The sequence below is a fragment of the Homo sapiens genome, chromosome 10 (genome assembly GCF_000001405.40).
Source record: "Homo sapiens chromosome 10, GRCh38.p14 Primary Assembly".
Classification (NCBI taxonomy): Eukaryota; Metazoa; Chordata; class Mammalia; order Primates; family Hominidae; genus Homo; species Homo sapiens.
This window is the reverse complement of record NC_000010.11, coordinates 116056512-116069743: the sequence shown is the minus strand read 5'-3', so window position 1 is coordinate 116069743 and position 13232 is coordinate 116056512. Positions and strand designations below refer to the sequence as shown.

At 43.7% G+C, this 13232-nt stretch overlaps 1 protein-coding gene across 12 annotated transcripts in view; it reads left to right on the top strand.

The window, feature by feature from the left end:
* The window catches only part of GFRA1 (GDNF family receptor alpha 1), a 217781-nt gene extending 204962 nt beyond the window's left edge, over positions 1 to 12819 (top strand). For 10 of the 12 annotated variants that reach the window (NM_001382557.2, NM_001382556.2, NM_001145453.4 and 7 more), the window contains 2 exons: positions 4118 to 4171; positions 5200 to 12819. In NM_001382557.2, the coding sequence (NP_001369486.1) occupies positions 4118 to 4171; positions 5200 to 5346 (201 nt within the window). In that variant the 3' untranslated portion in view covers positions 5347 to 12819. The remainder of the gene's footprint in view (positions 1 to 4117; positions 4172 to 5199) is intronic. The other 2 variants (NM_001382560.2, NM_001382561.2) reach the window with 2 other exon arrangements.

The window sequence follows — 13232 nt, the reverse complement described above, 5'->3', positions numbered from 1 at the left end:
GGCAGGCTTTCCAAATGCTAATCACTGGGGTAAAAAGCAGGAGAGGCACTGCTCTGACTCCAGGTAACAGAGGTTAACAGCCTCTAATGCATTTATTAACCCTCTGGTGCCAGGGACTGGCAAGGTCTGTCCCCCCACAATTACAGTGCCCTGAAAATTCATTTATGCGACGTGCCTGGACTTGGGGATTACCACCAGTGACACTTTTATAATATGAGAGCAACAGCTGCTGGAGAGACAAAGCTTTACGTGCCTAAAAAACAGGTTTCCCTGGTTTTCCAGAATGTAGGGAAGGCGTTTGGTTTGGGGACAGGCCTCTCTAGTATAATTTTCATCTTCCCGTTCTCAAGATGAAAACCTCAAGGTACTATATTTCAGTGGTGGTGTTTCCCCCAACTTAGAGTCAGGCAGCTTCCCCTAAACCTTATAGCTATAAATTAGAGTTAAGAAACACCCTTTCTTAAAAAGGATTAAATAATTCATTTTTCAACATACTGTAAGAATAGTTCGAATTGATTTTTCAAAAAATAAAACGCATCTTCTCTTCTTCATCTCTTGTTAAAAGACATATCATGTTAAAACCACAAACTGTAAGGCATGGTGTCTGCATAGGTACCGGCTGGCTGAGCTCTTTTTCGGCTCTCTGCATTTCTCATAATCATCAGGGCTGTGAGGCTCACTGAAGGGCCCCTGAACACTGTGCCAGCCCTTCTATTATTGCACCCTTGGTTTTACCAGTTGGTAACTCAGGAATAAAAGGTGCTTTTCTAGTTTCTAATTTACCTTATACCTTACAAAGTCTCAGGAGTTTGGGGTTTATTTTTTCCTTCTAATTTTCCTGGGACGTCCCAATTTGCAGCAACTGAGACAGCATTTAAAGTGTGTAAGTACTTTTTGTGATAGCTGAAAGCGGGAGACGCCCTGCAATTTTATCTGTTTGCATTTATCATACCTGACTAGCAAGACAGTGATAGCTTGATGATGTTTTCAGAAATGCTTGGGATAAAAGCCTTTAAAATGTGGAAATAACAGGTTTCTCAGGTTCCAAAGTGGGTTTTAAGACGCAGATTTTCTTAAGTAGACTCTGGATCTGCAGAGGTAGATTTCTGACCCTCAGTAGTCACAGGAAGTTCACACTGCCTACAGGACTCATAAGCATGCAACTAGCCAGAAGTTCACAGGTCTACATCCCAGGCTCTGACCCTCTCTCTGCAGCATGCCCACTGTGAGAGGTCCTGGACTCCCAGCCTGATGATGTCTGTTGTTGACCCCATCCAGTCTAGACAGCCGACACACTCTGGCCCTCATCTCATTTGGTGTGAGATTTAAAGAGATCTCAAACCTATATGCAATCCTTTGATTCTGCTAATCAGACTCACAGAGCTGACAGTGGCCCGTGCCAGGTTTAGGTGGAACTCCTCCAGAGCCTCTCTGCTCAACCTCTGCTGCTGTAGGGCTTTCCCGAGCACCCAGACCGCTCTGTAGGAAGCTTGTTAACACACAATGTAAGCAGTGTCTTTAGAGTCCTGTGTGTGGACTGCTAAGCCTCTGGAGTGCTGAGTGCCTCTGTGGGTTGGGAAGATGTTTAACGGGAGAGAAGGCATTTTCTCAGAGCATCCCCTGTAGGGATCTGGCTGCGTATTCTTACTTGGACTCAGCAGTTCTTCCAGTTATGCCAATCGGAGTGGTCCCCCAGGCAAGATGAGCTTGAGAGGTGCTGCTTCCAGCTTTAGCCAATGGGACTACACGGAGACAAGGCCAGAAACTGAGCTTTTCCTTTATACAGAGGCCAATGGGATACCCGCTTTGGGGGAACAAGAACTTGGCGACTGCACAGACTTGGAGCTGATCGAAATGCATTTTCCTGTGAAATTGAAGTTATGCCTGCCATTTCCAGGTAGAAGACAAGATCCTTGGAGTTTACACCTGTGTGTGTCTCCCTGGTTGAAAGCTTATAAATTCTGAATGTAGTGTGAAACCCTCCGTGACTAATGAGGGTCAGAAATCTACCTATGCAGGCCGAGTCCACTTAAGAAAACCTGTTAAGATAGAGGCCTTTTCTAGTCCATTGATGAAAGCTCCTTTCTAATCATTTAATAATGGTAGGATTATACTCCTGCAGTATAGCTAATGAGTGTCACAGATTGAGTATACAATGAATAAAACACTGTCTGCTAGTGCTAATCATACTGAACAAAGTAGAAAGGAGGCCTTCCCAGCCCTTGGAACTCTTAGAAGCTACTGTGGTCTAGGACACTCAGGCGCAACTTGGCTGTGACCACGAGCATAGGAAGAACTTGAGGACATAATGCATCCCAGTCTAGAAACCACGCTGCCTTCCCTGTGCAATTCAGTAAATTTGTTAGTTATGCAAAGGCCCTTAGCAAGGGCTTATGTCTTTTGTAGATTATGGCCTAGAAAAGGCAGAATGTGATGTTTTAGGGCCATTTTGGTATCTGGGCACAATTCCAAACTTGAACAGAAATAAAACATGTAAAGCACTACACATTACTCTCTGTAGGTGACAATGCAGTGGACCAGATTTGCTATTAATATAGATTAAAAGTAGGCTTTTGAATCAGGTTCAATTCCTCTTCCAATTTCCCCTCTGATCTTCTTATACATAACATTTAGTGACCTTTGAACAGCCCAGGGATGCTTCACAGTGTCTTATTCTTGATGCTTGTTTAAAGGTTTCTATTTCATATTCACAGCTGGCATATGCAAATATAGGTAAAGATTATGATGCCTCCCAAGTAGCATTATGGTCAATAAATTACTCCTTGGGTGAACATGCTATCATTTTAGCTTAGCGTGTCTTCCAGGAGTTGCAGAAGTCACAACAGGCAGCCTGCCAGTGCCATCCACACAGAGCTGGGTTGCCCAGGTCCTCCTTGATTCAAGTGTAACGCTTAACCAGGGCTCAGCCCGTTGACAAATAAGCTCTCTGTCTGTCAGTGCCAAACGGCTCCTGTTGCTGGGGATGAGGAAGGAGCATTGTGGGAGTTCTTTGTGTGGATTTTGGGGAGAACCACTGTGATGCAGGAGGTAGCACATTTTCATTTAGGAATTGAAGAGACTGGGTCTGCATCCTGACTCTGTAAGTAAATTGTTGTGTGACCTTGAATTAGTCACTTAACTTCTCTGGGCTCTGTTTTCCTTTGTAAAGTGGGAGGGTTGTACCAGGTCAGTTTTCACACGCATTTTCACTGTAATTATTTGAGCAATGGGACCTTTCCTATAATGAAATTATCAGTAGAAGCCCAGTGGAGGGTTGTTCCAGTTGAGGAGAAACAGGGAGTTCAATGCTTTCACAGCTCAGTCCCCTTGCAACTGCTCGGGAAGCCATTTTCAAATGGCTGGATTGAGTATCTGTACTGCTCTGTGTGATTCTTTGAGGATGCCCATCTGAAAGGGTCCCTGTCCTGTGCCTTAGCCCCGGATTCTATGTGATCCTAAACAGTGACTAGTGAGTGGTTTCCTCACTAGAGAGGAGCCCCAAGAACCCAGGGACCAGGTCCTTTTTTGTTCATCACTATATACCCAGCATTGGTAAACAGTAGGTGCTCAGTAAGGGTTTGTTGACTGAAGCAATGAATGAACAAACAAACAAGCCCAGGAAGGTCTCTGTCTGTATCACTAATAAATGCAGATGTTTATTGCAACGTTTTTACCTAGAAGGAGGTACTTCCCAAAAATTAACTTTAAGAAATGAGGGATTACTTCAAAACGTTTTCTTTAGTAACCTAGTCCTGGGCTGCTCCTTCAGGAGCCACTTGGCTTTGAAATGGGGTAAGTCTGAATTGAGATGTTCCATGCCAAACACACCAGATTTTGAACACTTAGTATGGATAAAAAGAATGTAAAGTATCTTATTAATATTGAGTACGTTTTGAAATGGTAATATATTGGGTTAAATAATATATATTATTAAAATTAACTTCACCTGATATCTCTTTATTACATGGCTACTAGAAAATGTTCAATTATATATGGAGCTCACAGCTGTGTCTCACATATTTATCAGAGAGCATTGCCCTAGACAGCTGACTGATGGATCATCAGTAATTACTCTTCTGTATTATGTTTGAGCATTTTTTTTCTTGTCCCTCTCCAGGCACAGAAGCTGAAATCCAATGTGTCGGGCAATACACACCTCTGTATTTCCAATGTAAGTATGTTTCTTTTGGAGGCTTCGTGCATTTATAGAAACATAGCCTTTGGGCCCCTGGGGGCAGGGTATCATATAAAGCATTCAAAGACAAGAAGGTATCCAGTCCACAAGAAATCTAAGCCACCCTCCATGACCGTCTGCCCTTTGAGCAAGGTGAAGACTTTGAATTCCAGTTCACAAAGTTGGAAGTAAGCATGGGACCTGGAATCTTTGTCCAAGGATTAATACAAGTGTTCCAGGGCCCTGAGCCTCTCTGTGATCACAGTCATGTAAAATCATCCAGCACAGAGACGATACATAGCAAATCTCACTGCTTACCAGATGTTCTCTATCATCTGTGGTGCCTCTGACCTCCACAGGCCCCCATGGGTAGATTAGAGCAGATACATTCCTCTCTCCAGTTTACAGGTGAGGAGACCGAAAATTCTGCTGTGTGTGGGCCCTGGTTTCTTGTGTAGGAGGGTGGCATTATGGGATTAAGCAGGTGCTGGTGACAGGGATGGAGGACTCTATCCTGGGGAAGGACAGCTGTGCTGGCTGGGAATCCAGAAGCCAGAGTTCTGGTTTAGTTCTCCCAGCAACAAGCAGGGCAAGCTCTTGCTCTCTCCAACTCCTCATCTATAAAATCTGGGATTGAACTGGCTCATGCAGGGAGAGGCTGCTCTGCCTGTCTCCAACGCTGTCAGTTACCTGTGCAACGTGGAACCCTGGAGAGAGGGACAAAGAATGACAGGGGTACCTGAACTCAGATATCTTCCCCCAAAATGAATTTAATAATTCCTAATGGAAGAGCAAGCAGTAAGCATTGGCCAGACGCTTTATCAAAAGTATCTGGTTCTAACCCAGGTTCATGGTTTCTTCCCATAAAACTACAAGTCAGTGAATGTAAGTCTCAGTGGTAAAATCTTGGTCAGCTTTGGTGAGTGGGTCAGCCAGTGGGGAGTCGGGGGGAGAGAGAGTGTAAAGTATACTGTGGTAGAATGAAGACATGCAGTGGATGATAATGAAACCATTCTTCCTTACAGGGTAATTATGAAAAAGAAGGTCTCGGTGCTTCCAGCCACATAACCACAAAATCAATGGCTGCTCCTCCAAGCTGTGGTCTGAGCCCACTGCTGGTCCTGGTGGTAACCGCTCTGTCCACCCTATTATCTTTAACAGAAACATCATAGCTGCATTAAAAAAATACAATATGGACATGTAAAAAGACAAAAACCAAGTTATCTGTTTCCTGTTCTCTTGTATAGCTGAAATTCCAGTTTAGGAGCTCAGTTGAGAAACAGTTCCATTCAACTGGAACATTTTTTTTTTTTCCTTTTAAGAAAGCTTCTTGTGATCCTTTGGGGCTTCTGTGAAAAACCTGATGCAGTGCTCCATCCAAACTCAGAAGGCTTTGGGATATGCTGTATTTTAAAGGGACAGTTTGTAACTTGGGCTGTAAAGCAAACTGGGGCTGTGTTTTCGATGATGATGATGATCATGATGATGATCATCATGATCATGATGATGATCATCATGATCATGATGATGATTTTAACAGTTTTACTTCTGGCCTTTCCTAGCTAGAGAAGGAGTTAATATTTCTAAGGTAACTCCCATATCTCCTTTAATGACATTGATTTCTAATGATATAAATTTCAGCCTACATTGATGCCAAGCTTTTTTGCCACAAAGAAGATTCTTACCAAGAGTGGGCTTTGTGGAAACAGCTGGTACTGATGTTCACCTTTATATATGTACTAGCATTTTCCACGCTGATGTTTATGTACTGTAAACAGTTCTGCACTCTTGTACAAAAGAAAAAACACCTGTCACATCCAAATATAGTATCTGTCTTTTCGTCAAAATAGAGAGTGGGGAATGAGTGTGCCGATTCAATACCTCAATCCCTGAACGACACTCTCCTAATCCTAAGCCTTACCTGAGTGAGAAGCCCTTTACCTAACAAAAGTCCAATATAGCTGAAATGTCGCTCTAATACTCTTTACACATATGAGGTTATATGTAGAAAAAAATTTTACTACTAAATGATTTCAACTATTGGCTTTCTATATTTTGAAAGTAATGATATTGTCTCATTTTTTTACTGATGGTTTAATACAAAATACACAGAGCTTCTTTCCCCTCATAAGTAGTGTTCGCTCTGATATGAACTTCACAAATACAGCTCATCAAAAGCAGACTCTGAGAAGCCTCGTGCTGTAGCAGAAAGTTCTGCATCATGTGACTGTGGACAGGCAGGAGGAAACAGAACAGACAAGCATTGTCTTTTGTCATTGCTCGAAGTGCAAGCGTGCATACCTGTGGAGGGAACTGGTGGCTGCTTGTAAATGTTCTGCAGCATCTCTTGACACACTTGTCATGACACAATCCAGTACCTTGGTTTTCAGGTTATCTGACAAAGGCAGCTTTGATTGGGACATGGAGGCATGGGCAGGTTCTCCTTTCTTTGGAAACACATCCATGCTGGGATGCACAGTTCTTTTCCTAAGGATTGTGTTTACTCCTGACTGCAACGTCTTGGCCACTGTTTGGAGCAGTTTGGTCTGAAGGTCATTAAGGATCTGCTTGCATCTTGTTTCATGTCCTCCGTGACAGACTGCAGACCATGTTAGAAGAGAAGGAAGGTTTGTGGATCAAGAGGGTTGACATTAGGTTTGGTGAGATGAGTTGCTTGGCACAGATCAGCAGAACAGGACCCTGGTGATAAGGCATCTGGCTTTGCTAACCACTTATCATCTTCCATTATTCTCTTTCTTAACTAAGTAGACCCGAAAGTGCACTTTTGAAGTCTGGTTTAGATGGCGAGATTCCGAATCTACAATGATCGAGTACTGGTGGCCACTTTTCTCCAACATTAAGTAAAGAGGAGGAGATTCCACCTTCAGAAAGTGCTGGGAAGCATTGGCTTTCTTCCCACATTGGTAGAAGAGATGGAGGAGGAAACCAGGGTGCACATTTCTACAGATCCCCTTTGCCTGCTGGTGTTTGCCTTGTAAGATAAGTCACTGGGGGGAAGGGGAAATCTATGAAATCCAAGATAAAGGCATAGTCTTTCAGCTCTATTGGTGTTAAAAGTATATTTGTGTCCAAATGTTAATCAACACAAATGTACAGTACTCAGTACTGACTTTTTTCACTTCAAAATGTTTTCAAGGGAAATTCAGCAGACACCCAACTGTATTTAATTAGTGAAAAGATCTATAAAGACTCTTACTTTGAATAAACACATTAAGTAAGTGTGTCAAAATATTTGGAATGCCAGTTATCTATGAGCGCATATCTCTTACAGAGTGTATTTTGTTTTCATTAAGGTATCTCTGTGTATCTACACTGGACTAATTTCATAGGGATCTGATTCTATGTGATCCACTGTAGAAAGCTACTGATTACTTCTGCAGTAACAGCAGCTCTAATTAGCATCAGATGACCAAAGCGGAAATGGGAGTTTCAGCGCTAACAAGGGCAGCCTTCATTGAAGAATGCATGGGTAGGCAATATATAAATTACATTTTGAAAAGCCTCATCTGTCACCAACAAATATCTCATTTTTCTTCAGTGATAAAAGCATATTCAAGTTACCAGCTCCTCAATTTGAAAATCAGTTGCTGATTAAATAAATAGGGGGAAGCATCTTGTTCAGGGACAACACGTTAGAGAGATTCTTATCAAAGCAAGCCAAGCAAGGTTTCCGCCATTCAGTGTGATCTTAGTTTGACACGGTGACCCTAAAACACCATCATTTGCCCCAGAACTGGAGCACAATAAGTTAAATCATTTACCTGTCTCACTTCTTCTTGGCGTGCTTAAAAGCAAAAATGATTCGCTACTTCCTGTCCTTCAGTCCGGGCATTTGGGGTGCCACTGAAGACAGGGGTTATCTGCTGAGGTTTGGGTGTCTTGCAGGAAGTATCTCATTGCAGTTGATTTTGATGAAACCAAACAGTAACTAGGGTCCATGCAGACCGTGACTCCCTGATTACATCTAGCCATGCCCTACTTATTTCAGAGAGAAAGAGAGGGGGAATAAAGGCAGTATTGCCACACTGATTAGAAGCACATTCATTCCACTTTGATGTTGAATATTTTTGACCGATACATGCTTGAGTATCTTTTTAATAGAGCACATGAAGGAAGAAGCACACAATATAGAGAAGGAATTGAGAATGCCAATTACATATTTATTTTTCCATACCTGATTTTTTTCAAGTCTGTAATAAAAAAAGTATAAGTTGAGATTAACATAGGTTATTTTTCATGAAGTATAGCAAACGATCTAGAATGTGATAGGAGTGTGGTTTCCATTTCTTTTTTTTTTTTTTTAACAGACTTTTGTGCTGTAGTAAGAATGTCTTAGAAGTTGTGTCTTCGAGTTCCTCAAACACCGGACAGGGCTCCCCCAGAGCTGCCTCAGCCTTTGATTTGGTCCATATTCAGACACTTCCTGTCTTGCATACACTCTGAGGATGGGCCGCTTCTAGCTGCCGCCCGTCTCCCTCTTGCCTTCTTGTCTCTAAATCAGACACTCCCAAGCACTCCATCTGCTATACTAGGAGAGTGGGAGAGCCAAAGCATTTTGGAGTCCATGTAAAGTGCCTGGGAAAAGAGATGTAAGAGCAGTGGGAGTTTATATAATTAGCGAATTCTTTTCTCAGAATTCAGCGGAAATGTATTTCTGTTGTTATTATTTACAAAATTGTGGCCTCAGAGGAGCTGTCTTTTGGAAAATAAGTTTTCATTCATGCAGTTAGTTAGACATGCACGATGTACTTGAATCAATAAACTGTGGACCAGAAAAGGGCTGCTTAAATGAATTCACGTGTTCTAATTCTCTTTCGAGGCTGTTGATGACCTCCTGGATTCATACCCCCATGATCTGTCTTGCTCTTGCCTCTGTTCTTTGATAAAGCACATCAGACTATGTGACACCCATCTTTTCAAGAACGACCTAAAAGCAATGACAACAGGCAGGAGAGAATTACCACTGGCCTGGGCACAGTGACAGCAGAAGGCCCACCTGAGCTTGGAGAGTTGGCGAGATAAGGCAAAATCAAGGTGCAACAGTGGGCCATGTTCCAAGGGTGAATGGATCTGAGAGTCCGCTGATGTTCCTTACTGATCAGAACAGGGACCTTCTAACGAAACAGCCAGAGTTCCTTGAATCAGGCAGAAGTTCTTTAGAGACAGGAAGCCAGAGCTATTGATAATATCCGAACGACAGAGGAAGGAATTTCTTATTAGAAATTCTAAAATAAAACAAGTGGGGATTTGGTTGGATACCCTTAGAAGCTACATTTTTCTCTCATCCCTAAGATAGATATCTCAAGTGTATATCTGACACCTCTTGGCTTTGACACGGCTCTGCTTCTCAAGTGACCATTTGTTTTAAGTCTGTTGTCTAGAATTCTTTGTGGGGGCTGGACCTCTGAAAAAGATTCTCACTGCAGAGGCTTTAAATCTGTGTTTTTTTCCACTCCCTCCGTCCTGGGATGTATTCGGTAGGACATTTCATTTATATCAGGATATTGGCTGATTCAGCTCTCTTTCATCGTTATTATTCAGGCCTCCCTCCACCACCTTGTTCTTTATTGCCTAAGTATTGCCCTCCCCAATTCTTCATCGTAATAGCTCTAAATTTAGTTTGACCCAAATTAATTTTTGTTCCAACAGATATATTTTAAGACAGAGAAGCCTCTCTCAGGAGCCAGATGATCTGAAGATGATGCTAATCCCCAAATACGAAGTTCCTCCAGCTAACTCTCCTCTGAGCTCCCTCTTCTTAGCTTTGGGATTGGGGATGGTCTCATCCTTGCCAGGAATCCCTTTGTTGCTCCCAGTGTCTCTGATGAGCTTCTCCTCCCTCCCAGAGACAATGCAGGGGTGGTTTTCAGCAGAATGTGCCACCTGCACTTCTGATTGTTCTGAGACCCAGCCCAGAGGGGTGGAGAAGGCGCACAAACCCTATTCCAATAAACTGCCTGCAGAGAACCACAGCCTGCTAATAGTCGTTGAGGTCTCAGCCCCCTAAGGTCTCCAAGCTCATTTGACCAGCGCAGCTGCGACTTCGGCTGTCTGCCTCTGGCAGGTGCCAATATCAGCATCTTGTCCCACTGCCATGGGGAGTTAATTTTTGCTCCAGGGCAGCTGCCAAGCCCAGCACCGGCATCAATAGAAGGTTTTCTCTGATTTTCTTCTCTTCCTCTCAGGCTAGGCTTTCTTACCAATCCCCAATTTTCTTCTGTAGGGCGCCAGGAGACTGGCCAGAGATCTTTAGACTCTTACTTAGTTTGAACATCTCTTGCTGCTCACACCCAGGCTTCTTCAGCAGAAAGCATGACCCATAGTAGGTACTCAGAAACTGGTTGAATGAAAAGCCTTGACATTTAAGGGCTTTATTCTGTCATACGGTAGCAAGAACTGGCCTATTGGCATCGTATTCCTGGCATTGAGCTGTATTGACCCTGAATGTGTCCTCCTGAGGTTTTTGAGGGTGACCTAGGAGAAAGGGTCTGAAAAAGCACTGGGATCCAAGTGACTTTAAATCTGCCCGTGGCATTTCCTGCTGAGAGGCGAGAAACTAGCATCTCTCCCAACAGGCTCACATCCGCCAGGAAGGACAGAGCCCAAAACGGGGGTAGACTTTGTGGGAAATTCGCCAGTTAGTCCGCTGAGATTTTAATCTGCCTCAAGCACAGGATGCTGACAAGAAAGGTAGACCACTCCCCCGATCCCAGACAAACCCCAGGGGTGACAACTTCTCCATCAGTATCCTGAGAAGCAACATCAAATGCTTACCAAGTCAGCACGTTTACTGAGTGAGTACTCTGACGGAATAAACCAGCATTTGGAGCTGAACTTGAGAACACAGGGCCCTCTGACAGCAGCTTAGGGAAACACCCATCCCTTCCAGATTGGCAGAATCCTTCCATTTCATGTCCTTCGGAGACGCTGTATTCTCTTTACAAATCATTCATGAAACTGAGACTCAGTCTCCCAGGGGTAAGTCCTGGGCCACGTGCAAACAATGGCAAATCCAGCTCTTCCATGATAGAGAAGGCAAACACACCCACCTTCATCCTGAGCCTAAAAGGCCACCTCTGAGCACTTGGGCAGCCACTCCTCTGGGCCTCAGAGGGCCATGAGCTTGGCCAGGTAGGCACAGCGGCGGGGAAGTCACAGCTGTCAGGTACCGGCCATGGTGCAGGTGGGAATAGGAGATGCCAGAGCTGCTTTAGCTGAGGAAAGCAAACAGTCAGCAGTGCTCAAAGGAGCAAAACTTCGAATGTGCACATTGACCCCTGACACCTGCAAGCATAACACAGATCCTAAGACTAGAGTGAAGTAGGAAGAAGAATTAGAAAATCCAGTGGATGTCCTGAGTATAGGGAACCAGGGCCGTTGAAAATCAGTAAAGGTTGATTACCTGGGGCGAGACCGGGTGACTGTGGCAGTGCAGGTGAAGGTACCCTGGACCTTCTCAGTTCGCTGGCACATAAGGCTCCGCCAATAAAGCGTGGTTCTCTCTGTCACACACACACACACACACACACACACACACACACACACACACACACACACAATGATTGGAGGGCTATATGATCCAGCATTAGCTTCCTGGTGTGCCAAGCATGCTTGATCGGGAATTTTTTTTTATTATTATTATTTTTTAGCTGTAGCTGAAGGCATTTCTCGGATGTGGAGAGGAGAATGGAAATCGCAGAACCAAATCAGTTTGCCCTGCCATATTTGGCTGTGGTCTGTCATTGGGCATTTCTGATGTGCTTTTCTGGATTCAGGAAGAGCTGATTGTCCTCCGAGGGTTGAAAAAAAAAAAACAGTTTCAGAAACCTGAATCCAGGGCCTTATAGTTCTCCTCATTATCTATCTTCTTCTCCCTTCCCTCGCCCAAGGGAGTGGGGGAAACACTTTTCACTGCAGAGTTTGCTTTAAAGTTTTCCCATCTTGCGTGCATTATCCCTTGATATTAAAATTATTTTCTCAGTTTAATCCAACTCCTGCTGAGAAGCTGTGTGAGATTTAGGCTGTGGGGTTTTTTTCTTGTACTCTTTTGGATGGTGTTGCATTTTTCACTCTTAACCCGAGGGTGTGTTTCAGCTTATGTTCGTTCTGTTTCATGCAGGTTTATAGCACGGTAGAGTAGAAGGCGGCTTCTGATTTTTAGGGTATTTTTAGAATTCATTCCTGAGTGAGGGGTTCAGACACCCAGTCTCCTCGGAACAGGGGTGAGGGGTCGACTGAGCTTTGTTGAGAAGCCTCCAGTTAGGCTTCGGGCGGGTCTCCATGTTATATTGTGTGTTTACTGAGCTTCCCACTGGTAGAAGATGACACATTTGTCCATCGTCCTGTGTATCTGCTTTCCAGAGGACACCGGAGCATTCTCCTGGGGTCACTCCCACATGGCTGCCTCACATAGCTGTTTTGCAACAGCCTTTATTGCCAACACCCTTGGAAGAACATCTCCTGTAGAAGTACAAGTTTTGCAATATGGACTTTGGAAGTGGTTTTGTGATGTTCGAATTTTCTGTTAGCCTATTGCTCAAGCACTACAGAATGTACATAGTCCCTTTGGCCATCCTCTCACCCCAGAATATCCTAATAAACATTGTTTTCTTTTTTAAAAAAAATCATTGTGGTGTCTTTTTCTTTTATCCCATTCACCGGAAAACCCTCCTGAAATCTGCAAACACGTAGAAATCCCCAGTGTCAAAACATTGGGTTTTCTTGACAGCAGATCATAAGGACTAAGTGTGGCTGCCACAAATACTTTCAGACCATGGCTTCCGAACCTTGGTACTATTGACACTCGGGGCCAGATAATTATATTTTGGGTGGATGGGCTTGTCAGATCTTATACATTGTTGATGTTTAGTAGCATCCTTTGGTAGCCCCCCATCTACACTTTGTGGTCAAAGCTATCTCTAGACATTGCCAAGGGTCCTCCGAGCCTAGGCAAAATCACCCTTGCTTGAGAGCCAGTATTTCAGACTCAACCTTTTGCTCATTTATGAGCAGTAAAAGGCAGCAGGGTGTAGTGTAG